This window comes from Homo sapiens, chromosome 7 (genome assembly GCF_000001405.40).
Source record: "Homo sapiens chromosome 7, GRCh38.p14 Primary Assembly".
In the NCBI taxonomy this organism is placed as follows: domain Eukaryota; kingdom Metazoa; phylum Chordata; class Mammalia; order Primates; family Hominidae; genus Homo; species Homo sapiens.
Window position 1 is genome coordinate 87,537,747 of NC_000007.14, and position 19,267 is coordinate 87,557,013.

Below are 19,267 nucleotides of genomic sequence, written 5' to 3' on the forward strand. Positions count from 1 at the left end.
TATAACATTCAACATAAAATAAGATTTTCTTTGTAAAACCATTTATATTTTTAAATACACAGATACTAACATGATTGTGAATTTGAAGTATGAATTTATATGTTTTACAAATAACTGTGGTCCCTAAGAAGTTATCTAAACTGGTTATTTACATTAAAGAAGTATCTATCATTTTTCCCAAAAATATTTAAGAAAAAATAGTGCTATAATTTATTATAGTATGTATCAACTTGCTTTTCAATATTCTTAAGTGGTTAAAAGTGTCTCCACACAGGAATGTAACTTCCTTGAACACAGGGACCATTCAGGTTTGAATGCCTTACAATACTAAGTACTAGACCTTGTAAGCAGAAGGCACTTAATAAATGCTTGCCCTACTTAACAATTTATGGAGGAGACATTCCACAAACCATCAGCTCAGCTGCCAAAGTATAATGGGCACAGCAGTTGGCCTGGAGGCTGGTTGGGTAATGGGAAATTTGGCCCTGGAGCAAGGTCAGTGTAGACCTAAGTGGAATCTGACTTATAAATACAGTTCGACCTGACAGTCCAAGGACAGGGTTTCCCATCAAACTGTGCTCTCTCACTTAGATTCAGTCCTGGCTCTGTCAGTCACTAGCTAGCAATTCCCATAAATACATTTTCTTTCTAAATGGTGATGGGAGGAATGGGGAAGAACTGAGGAACCAGAGACAGCTGGTAAAATGTGAATGCCCTCTAGAAAGCCTAACACACCAAACTGATGCCTCTTAGCCAGGGTTCGAGTACCCCTGGCACATCTGGGGCAGACTTCTAAAGCATCATTTTACTCAATGGCAAGTGATTAGTGATTTTTAAAACGGAAAGTTATTAGGTCACATACAAAATTTTCATGATTGTTAAAGGAACTTTCCCCTTTGAACCAGGCTGCTCTGAGTTACATTCCTCTAATTTCCTTCCCCATTTCCCCAGGAAAACATTCACACGTGTCAATGGTTAGGGTTTTGAAGCTGCAAAATGTGAGAAGCATTCCATTAAACCCATTATCAGCCAGTAACACTGCAGCTTGAACTAGTATTTCAGACTAGCCTCAGAAAAGAAAATGGGCAGTGAAGAACAGGACACAGGGATGAGTTTTGATTTGCGGAAAGAAAGAGTACAGAGGGCATCTCTTGGTGGGAAGAAACACTCGTGCCCTGGGTTTGCCAGGAGAAAGAAGGAAAGAGAGGAAAGGGATGAGGGGTATCAAAGATGCCTTCTGCCTGCACTGCCCACCACTGCTGAGACACAGGCTGGAGGTGAATCCACGCTGGAGGCTCTGTCTCAAACTGGTCCAGTTCCTTGTGCCCACCCAGACCTGACAGACAGTAGAGCCTCATCTGTGCCTAGTGGGCGGTTCAACCGCATCTCTGACGTGAGACTGAGGGACAACCAATATAGGAGCTAGGCCTGGGAAACATGACAGAGCTCCCACTGTCTGAGTCCAAGGGGCACACATGGGGAGTTCTACACATCCCAGGGCACAGCCCTCGATAGACATACCTGTCTGAGCATGGATCGGAAAACCATGTATCGGAGCCGCTTGGTGAGGATCTCTCCAGCTTTGCCAAATGTGAAACCCTGTGGGCAGGAACATACCTTGTCAGGGACCCAGCCACCATTTAAATAAAAGGAGGGAGAATTGATGTCTTTGCTAAAGCAGGAGATCAGACAAAGTCAGAAAGCCTGATTTCAAGGGCTTGCTATGTTTCTGTGACTGTGTGCCATGGCACAAGGCTGTACGGGTGGTGTAGACAGAAAAGCCCACTTTACAGAAGAAACTGAGGCTTAGAGAGCCTGATAAGATCCATAGCCCACAGTTATAAGGTCACAGAGTTGGAATCTTAATCCAGATGCATGAGAATCCTAACCAGAATGGGAATCCAGAGCCTGAGCTTTTAATTACCCACTGGACTCCCTCCCCATGTTACTAAGATGAGGAGTTGGGTGGTCTAACATCTTTAGGCATTTTGCTATCTCTAGACTTCTAAGGTCCTATAACTCATAGACTTTGTTCTCACCTGTTTTCTAGGCAAGCTAGGTTCCAGTCCCCCCAAGCACCATGTTATGAAGGTAGTCCTCTAACTTCTTTTGCTTCACCAATTCAAATCGTCAACATTTAAGGGACCAGCTCAAAGCCCACCTCACTCCAACTTTCTTAACCAAATTTACATTGAGCAATCTTTACCTCCTCCAAACACCTGTGGTATTAATAGTTGGTATGGCAATCCTATAAGTAGTTAGAGTGTCACATTTATTCTAGTAAGGTCAAATTCCCCAGTGAGGCTGTAAGTACTCAGTAAAGAAAGAATTCAGTCTGTTTTTTCTTTTGCACCTCTTATAATGTCCAGAAAAATATTCTATTTTTTAAAAATGTAATACATGCTTACATGTTAAATAAAGAGATCTAGTCACAGTTTTATCTTTAAAAATTACAGGTGGCTAATCATTCAATTAATAAGTGATTACCTACTACTGCCTCATGCAGGCCTGAGCACTTGGTCACATGATCCTTTTAATCATCAAGAGGCAGGTACCTGCATCCCTAGTTTACCGCTAAGGAAACAGAGGCTTAGACAGTTTACTTATGTGCCCAAGGACACAAAATCAGAAACAGGTACAAGGAGCACTTGAACCAAAACCAATACTGTCTTGCCATACCAAACAGTATTTATTTATTTATTTATTTATTTAGAGACAGGGACTCACTCTGTTGCCCAGGCTGGAGTGCAGTGGCACGATCATGGCTCACAGCAACCTCCTCCTCCTGGCCTCCTGGGTTCCTGAGACATTTCCTGCTTCAGCCTACTGAGTAGCTGAGACTACAGGTGTGGATCACCACGCCCTGTTAATTTTTGTATTTTTAGCGGAGACAGAGTTCCGCCATGTTGGCCAGTCTGGTCTCAAACTCCTGACCTCAGGTGATCCACTCACCTCGGCCTCCCAAAGTGCTGGGATTACAGGCATAAGCCACCACACCTGGCCCTCATACTAAACTTTTAGAGTACTTAATTCCTTGCCATTTCATTTCAGCCAAATGATTTGCAAGCTGTAAAAATCTGACTCTTTACAAATGTTTCCTACATTTTTTGTTGGAGGATTGACATTCTTCCATCACTGAAATGATTCTTTCTCCTTGAACAAAAGTTGAACGATAAACTCTTCAAACCCTTTTTAAACCCATGTGACCCGCTTATGGGGTTTTGTTTGTTTGTTGTTGCTTTTAGAACACGGGAAGACATTTCTTTGAGTATTTACATTTACTGGCAATACTTATATCCAAACTTACATCCAGGGCTCCCCCACACCCCATTTTGAAGTCCCTGCCTTTCACCTCCAATCATCATATCAGGCCAAATACTCTGTTCCCCCTGGTTTCATTGCGGGAGGTAAGGGTGGAGAGGAGAAGGTAAGCAAGGGAGCCAGAGGAGGCAAACATCTTTTTTCACTATGTCAGAAAAACTTGGCTGTTAGTAGCCATGTTAATAGAGAAGTTCTACTAAAAGGCCAATTACACTGATGTTTATAAATCCCCCCAGTTGAATAATGATGCATTTCTCAAAATGAATATAGTGAAAATGGAAACATTTACCTGAAGGAAAAATGTAATAAAAGAAATAATTCCAAGGGCTAGAAACAATAGTGAAAACAAGTTACTATTCTGTCGTTTTGTTTCAGGATCATCAATTCTTGTAAAAACCTGTGAGAAAACATTTAAAGGATTTTTAGTTCAATCAGTGAAGAACCCATCCTGGACCTGACCCATTTCCCATCTGGCCCAGTATTCAGGGGTCAGGAGAGCCTTAGTACGCTGGAAATTGGGGTTGGCTTTCCTATTGCCAGCCTTAAAGGTGTCTGCATTCTCCCTTCTGTGGAGGCCAAGGATAGGTCTATCATTCATAAATTGATCCAGTATTTTTTCTGTTCGGATTCCCTCTTGGAGTCATGAGTGCCACCTCAACTGTGTAAAGTTGAAATCAGAACAAATACTCTCCTCTTCCCTTGGTGGGGAACTACATTTATGGCAGTTCATTGCTTTACTATTTGGACATTTCAAACTGTCCCAAGGTGTCTGGGGAAAACCTGATGTGGTTTTTTGGTGAACCACAGAGTGGTGGTCATTCACTCAGCCCAGGCCTTTCAAAAAGAAAGGAATTTCCTTGAGCCTGCCTTCTTGGTAGGATGGCCAGTTAAGAGAGCCAGTTGGAAACTACAGCTACCTGACCTAGCACCATACCTGAAATTTTTTCCAGAGATAGTTATAAGGGCTAATAGGATGTTTTGGACTCAAGGAACACAGAGGATAACCATTCCTCAGGGAAAGAAAACACGTATCTCCCTTCACAGTGGGCCAAAATCAGTCTTGTAAGATAGTAACATTCCTAGCCCAGGACAGACAACTTTATCCTTCATAAAAAAACAAACAAATAACAACAACAACAAGGATTTTTGAAGAGATTAAATAATTTTTTTTGACTAGTCAGTCCAACAAAAATCATAACAATTACCAAATTCTTACTCTATGCCAGGCATTATTCTAAGCAAATTCATATATACTATTCCTCTAATCCTGGCAACTATCTCCAGAAGTATGATTTATTATCATCACGGTTTTACACAGATAGAAACTGAAGTACAGAGAAGGTAATTAATTTGCTCAAGTTAACACAGCCAGCAAGGGATGACTCAAGGATATAAATCCAGGCAATCCGATGCAGAGCCCACTATCTTCAATGAGGCAGATGTCTGGTTGCCTACTCAATATCTAAGAGCTAATATCCCAGCCCTGGGTCACTTACCTCCAGACTTATTGTCATATGAAGAATGAGAAAAGTATAAAATCATAAGTTGAGGTTTTGTTACAACCAAACCCATTCCTAACTTAACCATTTCCTTTTTTTTTTTTTCTCTGATGACACCACAGTCTACCCCCGCCAACCCCCAAAACCTGCAAGACACATGTTAGTGCAAGAATCAGCAAACTATGGGCCACTGGCCAAATGTTTATATAAAGTTTTAATGGAACACAGTCGTGTTCATTCATTTCCACATTGCTGTTGTGTACTACTAGGTCAGAGTTGAGTATCTGCAACAGAAATCATGTGGCATGCAAAGCCTAAAATATTTACCATCTTACTGTTAATAGAAAAAGTTTGCTGACTCCTGCCCTGGACCATATACTCTACAGAATCAGACATTTGATCACATTCTCGGAATTTTTTCAACAACTAGAAAAATACCTGGCACAGAGCAGACACAAAAAATAATTCTAGAGGCCAGGCATGGCAGCTCATGCCAGTAGGTGGATTACTTGAGGTTAGGAGTTCAAGACCACCCTGGCCAACATGGTGAAGTCCTATCTCTACTAAAAATACAAAAATTAGCCAGGCATGGTGGTGCAGGCCTATAATCCCAGCTACACAGGAGGCTGAGGCAGGAGAATCGCTTGAACCCAGGAGGCAGAGGCTGCAGTGAGCCGAGTTCGCACCACTGCACTCTAGCCTGGGCGAGAGTGAGCGAGACTCAAAAAATAATAACAATTCTTGAATAAATATATTTAATATTAAGCATGAATGTCATTAAACATGAATTCATGAATGAATATATTAAACTGAAATAAGCTAACCAGGCATGAGTAGACCTGAATAGTCATATATATTTTGTAGAATCAAAAGTCAGTGTTTAGCTTATGCTTCTTGTGGTGATCAATCTCTTTCTCCACAATGTTTTCAGCAGTTATGGCAAGGGTGTCCTCAGCTTGATGTTTGGACATATGTCACTAAACAGAGAGCATTCCTTTCAGATTGTAACTTTACTGTTGAAAATGCCACCATTAAGATGAGGTGGAACTAACACATGTCAACCTCAATCTTTAGGAAGCCGTTCCTATTTGTTTTAATCTTAGCAAGTGGGATGAAAATTACATCTTACAAAAGAAGCATGCTAGGCTTACTCACATCCTGGAAAGTATGTATGTTAGAGAACAGTGCATTCTCAAGCCAGCCTGACAAACATTTGAGGAACTCTCTTTGCACATTGGTGAAATGAAAGTTCACAAGATTTGTTCAGAGCCAAATGTTGGCAGGTATGAGAAAGTCATCTCATCACTTTCATTGACTATTTCAGGAAGCTGGTCTTTAGTTGCCCAGGTTAGAAACCAACTGTGATGACAAAGGAAGGTTCACAAAGTTAGCTCTCCTATCACAAACCAGACTGCTATTCTTACATCTTCAAGCCAATTAGTTTCATATGGAGATACGTGGATTTTGTTGTTTTTGTATCCCAGTTCAGACACAAGCACTTTATTCGTTCATTCTTCCATCAGGATTCACAAGTAAATCACACAAATGGGCATCACACTTACCCCTATAATCTTTGAAAATATTATTGCAAATGCTGGTTGCAGGCCTCCATTTATAATGGCACAAAATACACCAACAACAAAATAAGGCCATTCAGTTAAATTTAGCTTCATAATCCTCCAAAAGGAAACTGGAGGTATACTTTCATCCTAGAAAACACAAATTATTACAACAGGCTAGTTAAAAACTTTTATATGTACAATTCTTACATACGCACAAAAATTAGTAAAGGAATATATCCTATCCTTATTCCTTATCAATGAATAAGTGATGACAATTTTGCTTTAAAAAATGTCATAGTGATTATTATTTAGCTTCAAAAAAATGTTGACAAATTTTGCTACAATACTCCTTTATTTTTTAAAAAATAAATGATGTTTCCACAAACACTTACTTTTATTTGGTACTCAGAACCTGACAAGAGTATTTATAAGCAGGAGTAAACAGAATGGAAATTTTGATATTTGAAGACCCGCTATAGTCTCTTTACACTATAAATTTTAATTCTAAAAATTCTGCTGTGTAAATTAATACTTTTAAATTCTAACCTGATTCTAAAATGTTGACATTCTGGGGGATAGGACAGGAGGATTCTGGATAACCTCTCTTGTTCCCACTCCTACTGTAGCCCTAGCCCACCAAACTAGGGAACCACAGTTAGTGAGATTAAAACAAACTCCGCATCTCCCTTCATACCAGAGCCTCTTTGGTACTAAGCTTTCTGTCTTGGGCTTGTGATCCACGGACACTCCTACGAGTTGATCTTTTTCTTATTAGACTGGATCTTGAATCATTTGAAGACATTTCCAAGGCATCAATTTCACTTTTGGATTCATCAGCTGCATTTTCTAATTCAACTTCATTTCCTGCTGTCTAAAATAAATAAGAAATATGCAAAAGCTCATTAGGCTGTGTGTTAACCAATGAAAGCTAATCACTGAATGTCAGCTATCAAGGAAAACAGCAATTTGTTTAGTAACTGCAGAAAAGGATAAAGCTAATCTGCTGTGTTGTTTTATGTGTGTCTGTGTGTGTCTGTGTGTGTGTGTGATATTTGAAAACGAAAACCACCAAAGAAGAATTCCCACTGCATATACTGAAATAATCTGGCATTCATTCCATGTATCTTATCTTCTCACGCCATTTTTTGTGGGTGTTTTGACTCAATCAAGTTTACTCTGGATCAGTGCTTTCAACAGAAATATGGCACAAGCCATGCTATGAGCCATGTTATTTTAAATTTTCTAGAAGCCATGTTAACAAATGTAAAAAGAAAGAAGTGAAATTAATTTTAGTTATATATTTTATTTCACCTAATATATCCAATATATTATTGATATCCCATGATATCGTTTCAACATGTAATCAATATAAAAATTGAGATATTTTGCATTTTTTGTACTAAGTCTTCAGAACAAGATGTGCACACTCTACTTAAAACATTCCAATTCAGATTCACTACCATTTAAATGCTGTACAGACACATGTGGCTACTGACTACTATAACGGATAACTCACCTTGAAACCTTTTAATTTTTTTATCTGTTTATCCTTCTTTATTTTCCCCTCTTTCAAGAGAGAAAAAAAATCTTAAACACTGGTCTCATCCTGAATCCCCCAGGTGTTGTTTCCTACTTTGTAAGGTAATCAAATCAAATAATATTTATTTTTAGCATTAAATGCAAAATCAGTTTATCACTGAGATGACTTAGGAAAATTCTGAAGTTAAACTATACCTGCATTGTGACAAGTTTGAAGTAAATGCCTTTCTCTTTCATGAGTTCATCATGATTTCCTTTCTCCACAATGACTCCATCATCGAAACCAGCGATGACGTCAGCATTACGAACTGTAGACAAACGATGAGCTATCACAATGGTGGTCCGACCTTTTCTGGCCTAAAGAGAGAGAAATTTGGTTTTTGAATACATTAACAATTACCTGAAGAAACTTAACCATTCAACATATATTTACTGAACCAATGCTGTGGGCATTGTAAAACCATCAAATCTATATAAGATAGCCTCTGACTTCAATAAATGTATAGACAATTGATAATAGTTAAAAATGATGTTTCCTTGTAATAAATACAAACACAAATATAACAGTCACATATTAATATTATGTAAGCCCCCAAATATTTTATTTAACCTAAATTTGCAGTAATAATCAGGGGCTTGGGCCGGGCGTGGTGGCTCACGCCTGTAATCCCAGCACTTTGGGAGGCCAAGGTGGGTGGATCACAAGGTCAGGAGATCAAGACCATCCTGGCTAACACAGTGAAACCCCATCTCTACTAAAAATACAAAAAATTAGCTGGGCATGGTGGCGGGTGCCTGTAGTCCCCGCTACTTGGGAGGTGGAGCTTGCAGTGAGCCAAGATCGCACCACTGCACTCCAGCCTGGGTGACAGAGTGAGACTCCATCTCAAAAAAAAAAAATAAAAAATAAAAAAATAATAATAATCAGGGGCTTGTACAAACCAACAAATTCCTACAGACCAGGCGTTGGCCAATCAAAACAAACACAGGCCATTGTGCTGTACTGATACACACCGGCTAGTAATCAGCCCTAGGAATTATAATATCCTATCCCGCATGACCCCCTGGATGAACAAGACAGACAATAAATGTGAGGCAGCAAAGTCCAGACCTCAATGTCACACTGACCTGAAATAAATTTATGAATTTATTTTATCCAATAAAATATTTTATCCAAGGAAACTGTGTGAGACTCAATTTATTCATATGTAAAATGGGGATAATAATAGTATTTACTTCTTAGAGTAGTTGTGATGACTAAATAAAATAAAGCACATAAAGTACTCAACACTGTGCCTTATCCATAGTTAGTGATACTTATTCCTAGGTTGAAGAATTATGGAAAAATTGAAGAGTCACGTAAGTCTCTTTTATTTTCATAAAGGAACAGAGCCAGATATCCAGGCCTTGTCTGAGACTTCTCTAACCTTTGTAACTTTCCCAATGCTCATAATTTTTGTTACTCTATATGTCTCTCTAATAACTAGCAATACAATTCTCAAAACCAACACACAACATTTTCAGGATCCATAGGATAAGTAGAAGTGGAAAACTTCAAAAAGAAAAAATACACAAGGAAAAATTAGGTGGTAGAAACTAGAAAATACAGAAGAAAATAGATCAATTTTTGTATCTTTTTAAGAAAAAAGGGGTATGTGGAATTTCCCCTCAAAATTTACACCCTAAAGTATTTTAAAATATAACCTTTTAAAATTGTTTTTATTTATAATTTAATACATAGTTTCACTATAGATTAATAAGGAAACACAGATAAGCAAACCAGTAAGCAGTGGCTCACTCCTGTAATTCCAGCACTTTGGGAGGCTGAGGCGGGAGGATTGCTTGAGCCCAGGAGTCTGAGACCAGTCGGGGCAAGATAGTGAGACCTCATCTCTACAAATATATCAAAAAATAGCTGGGGGCTGGGCACGGTAGCTCACGCGTGTAATCCCAGCACTTTGGGAGGCCGAGGCAGGTGGATCACCTGAGGTCAGGAGTTCAAGACCAGCGTGGGCCACATGACGAAACCCTGTCTTTACTAAAAATACAAAAATTAGCCAGGTGTGGCGGTGCATGCCTGTAATCCTAGCTACTCAGGAGGCTGAGGCAGGAGGCAGAGGTTGCAGTGAGCCAAGATTGTCCCACTGCACTCCAGCCTGGGCGACAGAGCGAGACTCCATCTCAAAAAAAAAAAAAAAAAAAAAACCTTGGCATGGTGGCACACACCTGTGGTCCCAGCTACTTGTGAGGCTGAGGTGGGAGGATCACTTGAGACTGGGCAGCAGAGGTTGTAGTGGCCATGATGGCACAACTGCACTTCAGCCTGGTGACAGAGTGAGAAAAGAAACAAGAAAAGAAAAGATAAGATAAGATAAGAAAAGAAAAGACAGGAGAGGAGAGGAAGAGAAGAGAAGAGAAAAAAGAAAAGAAAAGGGAGGGGAGGGGATGGGAGGGGAGGGAAGGGGAGGGAAGGGAAGGGGAGGGAAGGGAAGGGGAGGGAAAGGAAGGGAAGGGAAGGGAAAGGAAGGGAAGGGAAGGGAAAGGAAGGGAAGGGAAGGGAAAGGAAGGGAAGGGAAGGGAAAGAAAGGGAAGGGAAGGGAAAGGAAATGAAAGGAAGGGAAGGTCAGGAAAGGAAAGGAAAGAAAGGAAAGGAAGAGGAAGAGCAAGAGAGGGAGGGATTGAGGGAGGGAGGGAAGGAAGGAAGGAAGGAAATAAAGAAAGAAAAAGAAAAACACAGAGATGAAATCACAGATTAAGCAAAATGAGGGGAAAAATAGTAACCAGAATCCCATCGGCCTCTATTTTGGTTCACAGAATGTTTAGTAAGCTGCTTTTTTTCTCTCTCAAAAATTTATTAAGCACATTGACAGGATGTTAAGGAACATTCAAGTGTTGTTTTATTAGAGACAGGGAGAGTTGAAACAAATATGAGTTCATCTTTGAATTCTACTGTGACATCTCAACTTGGAACACCTTTGGTTATAATGTCTCCATCTCCACATTCTCGGTCCTCACAGAATTATCCCCGTTACTATCACGTGCTGGAGATCAAAGGCACAGTGCCCGGCACACGGCAAACACTCAAATGCTATTTGGTGAATGAGTCATATGGACTCCAGAATTGCAGGACAGTCAAACTCTGTTGATAGTCAATAACCTGTCATGGCTTAGGTAGGTTTTCAGTATCACAGGCTATCTGCCCCTTTCCTGGAAATAAGAGGTTTCTTATTTCGCATAGAGTCTTCAAGTGGCATTCAACACCTGGAAAATTATATATGGACCTTCAGGTTGTATTTTTCTCTTCTTGGCAATATTACAAACTCTCAAAACCTAAATAACAGGGTTATCCACATAGTCAAGTTTTGAAGATCACAATGAAGATGAACTTTCACATGTGTCTATATTTCTATTTTTTAATTTAAAAGATTAGCAAGTGTCTTCAAATGAAAATGTATTCATCAACATTTAAAATAAGATCAGAGAAATAAATAGAAATTGAACAATAAAACAAACAAATAGAAAAAGATTTCAAAGAGGCCCAATGCTTTTATTTTAATAGCTGAAGGAATCACCTAGAAGCTATCAGAAATTTCCTTTTCTAAGACCAATATTAACAAGAATTAGTAGTAGAATGTTCTTATGCTTATAAATCAGGTTGGTTTGAACTAAGCCTCACTGACCTTATCCAGAGCCACCTGAACCACTGCTTCGCTTTCTGTGTCCAAGGCTGACGTGGCCTCATCCAGCAGGAGGATCTTGGGGTTGCGAACCAGGGCACGTGCAATGGCGATCCTCTGCTTCTGCCCACCACTCAACTGGGCCCCTCTCTCTCCAACCAGGGTGTCAAATTTCTACCACAGAAAACCCAGAATGATTTAGCATAAGGACAAGCTATCTCAGCTCATATTTTAAATTGGTAAGGAATCCTATACACAGCCCAAGTCTCACAAGTAATACAGGTCCAGTTCTTTAAATCTTATTTAACACAATAACCAACCTCAGTTTTTAAAAATGTATCTACGACCAGTTGATACTGCTAGAGCTTTCAAATCTGAAGTAATCTTACTTTCCCTTCTTAGGATTTCCCTTCTTCCGATTTATAGTAGTTTCCTAACTTCCTGCATAGTAGGCCTGCATTTTATTTTTTGCACCTCTAGAAAGGCAAAGGGCAAGGACAACTTACATGAGGCAGTTTCATGATAAAGTCATAGGCATTGGCTTCCTTGACAGCTTTCTCAATCTCATCCATGGTGACATTTTCACGGCCATAGCGAATGTTTTCAGCTATCGTGGTGGCAAACAATACAGGTTCCTGACTCACCACACCAATGATTTCCCGTAGAAACCTTACATTTATGGTCCTAATATCCTGTCCATCAACACTGACCTGGAATAAAAAGTAAGTGTGACTTTCATACATTTGTAATTGAAAGGGCAACATCAGAAAGATGTGCAATGTGACTGCTGATCACCGCAGGGTCTAGCTCGCATGGGTCATCTCACCATCCCCTCTGTGGGGTCATAGAGCCTCTGCATCAGCTGGACTGTTGTGCTCTTCCCACAGCCACTGTTTCCAACCAGGGCCACCGTCTGCCCACTCTGCACCTTCAGGTTCAGACCCTTCAAGATCTACCAGGACGAGTGAGAAAAAAACTTCAAGGCAATTCACAGACACAGGATATAGGAACTGACTGTTCACTAGGTTTAAATATACATGCACTTTTTTATAATCTCTACAAGAAAACATCAGAAACTCTTCATTCAATAGATTAATTGTTGATTAATCATTTATCACTGTACCTTAACTTCTTTTCGAGATGGGTAACTGAAGTGAACATTTCTGAATTCCAAATTTCCCTTAATATTATCTGGTTTGTGCCCACTCTTCGAATAGCTGTCAATACTTGGCTTCTAAACAGAATCAAATTTTAAGAGATTACTAGGTTACAATAACTACTTTTAGTGATATTTTGTGGAGAGCTGGATAAAGTGACAAAGAAATTGACTTAACTGGACAATCTTTTAGATAGGTGGATAGATGGCCAACTCAGACTTACATTATCAATTATCTTGAAGATTTCATAAGCTGCTCCTCTTGCATTTGCAAATGCTTCAATGCTTGGAGATGCCTGTCCAACACTAAAAGCCCCAATTAATACAGAAAAGAATACCTGAGGAATGTGAAGAAAAACCATCAGGCTACTGAGATAGTGACAGCAATTTTTTTTCATACTTCTTCTGTCTTTTTCTAACATAGGTAATTAAAATTTAAAATGGCGAGGCAACATATAAATACTAGGTGTTAAAAATATTTTAAAAGTTTGTAACTAACAGTACATTTAATTCCTTTTTTCATTTTTTTTCCTTTTTAAGAGACAGGTTCTCATTCTGTCACCCAGGATGGAGTGCAGTGGTGCAATCATAGCTCGTCATAACCTCTACCTCCTGGGCTCAAGCAATCCTCCTGCCTCAGTCTCCCAAGTAGCTAGGACTACAAGCATGCACCATCACACCTGACTAATTTTTTTTATTTTTTCTAGAGACAGGGTCTCGCTACGTGTCCCAGCCTGGTCTCCTGGCCTCAAGCAATCCTCCTGCCTCAGCCTGCAAAAGTGCTGGGATCACAGGCATGGGCCACCACACCCAGCCAAGAGTAAATTTCAAATGTGTCACCTCAAAAGGTGTCAAGTGAGGAGATAGATATGTTAATTAGCTTGCTCTGATCACTCCACATTTTGTGTGTATGTGTGTGTATACATAAACATCACATTGTATTCCGTAAGTGTAATGCAATTATGATTTGTCAATTAAAAATAGCATAAAATTTTTTTAAAAAAATTTTAAGACAAGGTCTTGCTTTGTTGCCCAGCCTGGACTGCAGTGGTGCAATCTTGGCTCACTGCAACTTCAACCTCTGGGTTCAGACAACCCTCTCACCTCAGTCTCCGAAGTAGCTGGGACTACAGACAAGTGCCACCATATCTGGCTAATTAAAAAAAAAAATTATAGAGATGAGATCTCACTATGTTGCCCATACTAAAAATATTTTGGAAATATAAATACTTTTCAATTTAGAATGCAGAATTAGTCTTACTTGCTCAATAAACAATGATTTAAATTTCACAGGGCTAGAATATTATAATAGGATATTTTTATATTTCTTCAATGTCTAGTTTTTTTTTTATTTAGATCATCAGTAAGGTAAAGTGGAAATAAATGCTAGCAGAGGAGTCAGAAGACCCAGTTCTGAATCCTAAATTAGTAATAACTAGTTATATGTTGTTAGGCCATTCTCTTAGAATCTTTGGCTTCAATTTCTTCATTGGCAAAAACAGGCAAGATTCTATCTGTTCTCCCTACCCAGCAATCATAGAGATGTTGTATCATGATAAAACAGTGTATATGAACATTTTTTGTTAATTATAAAGCACACACACCTAAGACACTGATCCTTTATCAGGTTGTCTTTTTTGCCACAAGGCCGTGTTCTCTTTAGGCCTTTTGTTTTTTTGTTTTGTGCAAATCAGTTTCTTATTGGTAAAGACTTAACTGTGTTTCTCTTTGGGGTTGATGAGAATTAATGTCATTATTCATTTTTTCTAAATCACATGGAATTATATTGCTCAATAATTTACACAGAAGGAACTTTGCTAAGTGATTCTATATTCATTATCTCAGTTAGTCCTCAAAACACGCTGAAAGTTAGGGTTCATTCCTGTCATATCATTTGGCAGAAGAGGTAGCAGAGGCTTGAAAAGTTTAGCTGGCTGCCCTAAATCATACAGCTAATAAGTGACAAAGCTGCCATTTGAATCAAGTTGGTCCGATATCAAACCCCACACTCCCTATTTTGGATGCCTCCAGTGTGTGAAGTATATTCATGCCCAGTGAACACTGGATTTAAACTGCTTATCTCAATCACAGTTAAACAGAAAACATCTGTTATGACAACCAAGGATCACCCACAGCATCACTATACTAAAAAAAAAAAACTTCATGGGAAAAGCCATTCCCCACTGAGCAATGTTGGATAAGGCAAATTTGAAAAAAAAAGAAAAAGAAGTGATTATTGAATCCATATTACAAATCTGGCTCCTGAAAAAGGGAATTGTTTTAAGGGATTCTACAAAATATCATCTCTCATTGCCTCAATCTATTTCTGCTTGGCCTACGAAAAAGGAACTAAGTGACTCTTCTAACAGTGTATTTTATTAGATCCAGATATGAATTGAGTTTGGTTTGCAAATTATTTCATTGTCTTTAAAATAAAAGAGGATAACATTAAATGGCAAGACTTCTGTGCTTGCACAAAGGTCTATAATGCAGAAAACTTCCAAACAATCTTTTAGGAAGAGGAACAATTTATACTTCCATAATTTGTGAGGTGGATTAGCTGCCATTCGAAATAATTTGAAAAGAAGTCAAAATGTGTATTTTGCCATTTTTGTGAATAGTAAATCAGAAAATAAAAGTGAAGTGTTTAGCAACAAGTTTGGCACAAATAATCTCAACAAATAAAAGTTCATGCTATTGAGATTGCTAACGTTAATATTATTTAGGCTACAGGATAAATTGTGCAAGATATCTGCAAAAACAAACAAGCAAATAAAAGAAAAAACTGGTTGTCGGATGCATCTAATTTTTTTCCACTTTTTTTTTTTTTTTTTTTTTTTGAGACAGTCTTGCTGTGTCACCCAGGCTGCGGTGCAGTGGCGCAATCTCAGGTCACTGCAAGCTCCGCCTCCCGGGTTAACGCCATTCTCTTGCCTCAGCCTCCTGAGTAGCTGGGACTACAGGCGCCCGCCACCACGCCCGGCTAATTTTTTGTATTTTTTGTAGAGACGGGGTTTCACCATGTTAGCCAGGATGGTCTCGATCTCCTGACCTCGTGATCTGCCTGCCTCGGCCTCCCAAAGTGCTGGGATTACAGGTGTGAGCCACCGTGCCTGGCCTTCCACTTTTTAACCTAGTAGTGCATATGTCTGTAGTATTCAACAGTTGTTCAAAATATATTCTTCTAAAGTCAAGCCAACATTACTGGATTTCATTGGCATTTTATAATAATGGTTCATTTCTCAATGTAAACCACTTACAGTGAGTACTTGTCCAATAGAATATTCCCCTGAGAGGACCAAGGTGGTCCCATACCAGAAGGCCAGAGCATAAGATGCATAGATCAGCAGGAAAGCAGCACCTATAGAAATATTGGCTGTAATAGCTTTCTTTATCCCAATTCTTTTAGCTTCTTCTAAATTTTTGTTGTACCTGAGAAAAAGAACAAAAATGATCACATATACATTTTATGAAAACATGTCGATATAGCATGATAGTTACAGAGTGGCTAGGATGTGTTCAGTCCTGTGATATACATGCATTTTGTCCTGCTGCTCATACATTGACCCTATATAGTAGTACTGTTTTACTCCCTTTTTGCAGAAGAAGAAACTGACATTTATAGAGATTAACTTATTTGTGGGGGAGTCTTCTAAAATTTCCTTCTCTGGCTTTAGCAATAGCAAATAAGTGAAGCAATATTTAGCAAACTTCTAAAACTTACATTGTTTCATACACAAGACAAAGTAAAAGCCATGGAAAAAACCTGTGTCTTTCCTTCAAAATCTGCATGCCTCTTTAATTAATAAAATGGAGAGATAATGTTAGAAAGTACTAAAAAAAAAAAAAAGGGACAGTCATTTAAATCTCTGAACATTAAGGAAGTTTGGAGACAGTTTGCTCTCTGTCCTGCCTTCCTCTAGGACTGTCGGAATGACCAACTGAGAGGTTACATGTGTGAGAGCATTTTGAGAGTTCTGAATTGCCATGTAATACTTTTTACATTTAAATAAGCTGTACAATTTATCTTACTTCCGTAGACATTTATTTTAAAAATCACTGACCTACAAAAATTATTTGGCTTACAGGTTTATAAAAGCACATCATTATTCATCAGCATTCCCTCTCTTCCTTCTCCTTTCTACATATTGACTATGTGTCCTTCCCTCTATTAATGCTCCCAACACTTGTCATGCCATAGCTGCCAGCTGCTGAACTAACAGGATCTGACCTGGTGGCTTGGGCCATCCACGGCTTCTGACTAACTCAAGGGCTGAGAAAAATTAAATTATTAGCATATCTATAGCCCTGAACCCATTCATAGCACAAAGGCCTACCCTACATTAACCAAACCTGGTGAGGACCCATTAATACTTCTTAGAGCAAATATAGGAAATTGTACAAAAGGGGCAAAAATGAGCAAATGAAAAAAAATCGAAAAACAATGTTGGAGTCACTGACAGATTTTATTTCTGCAGTTCTAATGACTTACAGGTTATTCCCAACTGATAATTCAAATATTTTTTAAACCCTCAGAGGGTGGTCAATTTTTGACGGTAAAGTTAAAGGAGATGATGTCTATAACTCGACCTTCATTTGAAAGGAACAGAGAAGACTACTCTGTTTAAGAGGATAGCTATGGAGATAAGCTAATGGAGCCCAGAGTTAAAGAAAAATAAGGAATTTTGCAAATGTAGAACCAAGGTAAAAGGATTAGAGAAACAGGACAGATTGCCTTAAATCTGTCTGTATTTTCTTAATCGCAACTCCCTGCAGAACCTAGAGCATTGCCTTGGATAGAGGAGGAGCTAATAATTGTTGAAATTCATGAACTTACTTCCATATAAAAGTCATACTTTAAGGTCTTTGATCCATAAATTCACAACTATATAAATATTATATAGCATTATATTAATTTCCTTTGGAGAACTTGTTCCATTAGCATGTACAGCAGAGCTCAAGCACTGTCCAGATATGAACATGCATTGTTTCTTGCTTTCATGACTACTTTAACTAGGTACATTACAGAGTTACAAAAGCATGCCAAGTGAAATTTACATCACTACCGTGTTCACTAAAGATGAAATTTAAACAGAACTTCATAGTGACAACATAGCAACACATCATTAGTTTCTACCCCCCAAAATGTAAATCCTCAACTTGCCAGTTATCATCTGAACAGAAAAATTATTTTTGAGAAACGTTTCAATTATTTATATACACATATGCACACACACACAACACACAGACACATACATATCTCTCACTTTATGAGTTGATCTGAGGTAAAAGCTACCACTGGGCATAACTTACATAAGAATATATTTAAGGACATTTAATACATATGTACTATACTCTGTTATCTCCTTTATTTCAGTTCTCGCTTACCAAGACTAACGTAGAAACCAGTCTGATGTTGTCCTATGCAGCCAGAGGAAACATTTGCACAGAAGCACAAGGAAGAAAATCATTTAGACATCAGAAAGGAGAAATAAAGGAAAGAAGGGGGCAAAGGGAAATGAGATATAAACAATACTCCTTTTCCATAAGCTCTTTGTTGTTTTTCCATACAAATGCCATACATAAAACTAGATATTAAAATCATCCATTCATCAAAGGCTTTAGTACAGAAATGGTCATGAAAGTAGGAATGACTAAAAGAGACTAAAGTTATATAACAAAACCATTGGTATGTAGGAAATATGACTCTTCTTAAATATTGTGAAAATATTTATCAATAATGCAAGTAACTACTTTAAGAATAAGGAACAATTTTGGTTAAGCCAACAGAAATAAATATTAATAGATAAATATATTTTCAAGGCACATAAAAGAGAGAAAAATATTTTTAAGTGAAAAGGAACAAAACTATTCTATACGATTGAATGGAATTTATTTTAACTTCTGGTTAAATTTCCATTCAAAGAGAGCCAGCTTCCCTCCTGCACTGCTAATTTGAAGAGAAAGCCAGATTAAGACCTCAATTACTTTATGTAGAAGCAGAGAAGGGAAGGAGAAGAACAGGAAAGAAAACTGATTATGTCTGGTCTAAGAATAGTCATCAATTCTACTTTCAAGTTATATCCCAAATCTAGGTACCTGTCACCCCTCTCCTGCCTCTGCTCCAGATCAGGGAGATGCTCTGGCCTGGACCATTCTGCCGGCCTCCCCACTGGTCTCCCTGCTTCCACCCTTTGACTTCTCGCATCCATTCATGAGACCCATTACAGACAAACAATCTGAAAACATAACGTGGATAGTCATTCCTCTTTTTAACACCCTCAACCACTCCCCTGTGCCCTTAGAATACAATCCTAACTCTTCATCATGGCCCATCATCCCCACATTCTGGCCCCTGCCCACCCCAATCTCCCCTCATTCAACTGAGCTTCAGTCATGCAAGCCTTATGACGTTTCCTAGAACATACTAAATTCTTGGCCACCCCAGGAAACTTGGAAGACTCTTCTTCAAACCCATCCCATCTCTGTTCCCACCATGGCTTGCTTTTTCTC

At 38.7% G+C, this 19,267-nt stretch overlaps 1 protein-coding gene across 4 annotated transcripts in view; it reads right to left on the reverse strand.

Moving 5' to 3' along the window:
• The window catches only part of ABCB1 (ATP binding cassette subfamily B member 1), a 210,279-nt gene that overhangs the window by 34,730 nt on the left and 156,282 nt on the right, over nucleotides 1-19,267 (reverse strand). For all 4 annotated transcript variants that reach the window (NM_001348944.2, NM_000927.5, NM_001348945.2 and 1 more), the window contains 11 exons: nucleotides 16,015-16,186; nucleotides 12,979-13,092; nucleotides 12,722-12,832; nucleotides 12,425-12,550; nucleotides 12,105-12,308; nucleotides 11,602-11,772; nucleotides 8,117-8,278; nucleotides 7,077-7,253; nucleotides 6,383-6,529; nucleotides 3,611-3,718; nucleotides 1,522-1,599 (listed from right to left, as the gene is read on the reverse strand). In NM_001348944.2, coding sequence (NP_001335873.1) covers nucleotides 1,522-1,599; nucleotides 3,611-3,718; nucleotides 6,383-6,529; nucleotides 7,077-7,253; nucleotides 8,117-8,278; nucleotides 11,602-11,772; nucleotides 12,105-12,308; nucleotides 12,425-12,550; nucleotides 12,722-12,832; nucleotides 12,979-13,092; nucleotides 16,015-16,186 — 1,570 coding nt within the window. The remainder of the gene's footprint in view (nucleotides 1-1,521; nucleotides 1,600-3,610; nucleotides 3,719-6,382; nucleotides 6,530-7,076; nucleotides 7,254-8,116; nucleotides 8,279-11,601; nucleotides 11,773-12,104; nucleotides 12,309-12,424; nucleotides 12,551-12,721; nucleotides 12,833-12,978; nucleotides 13,093-16,014; nucleotides 16,187-19,267) is intronic.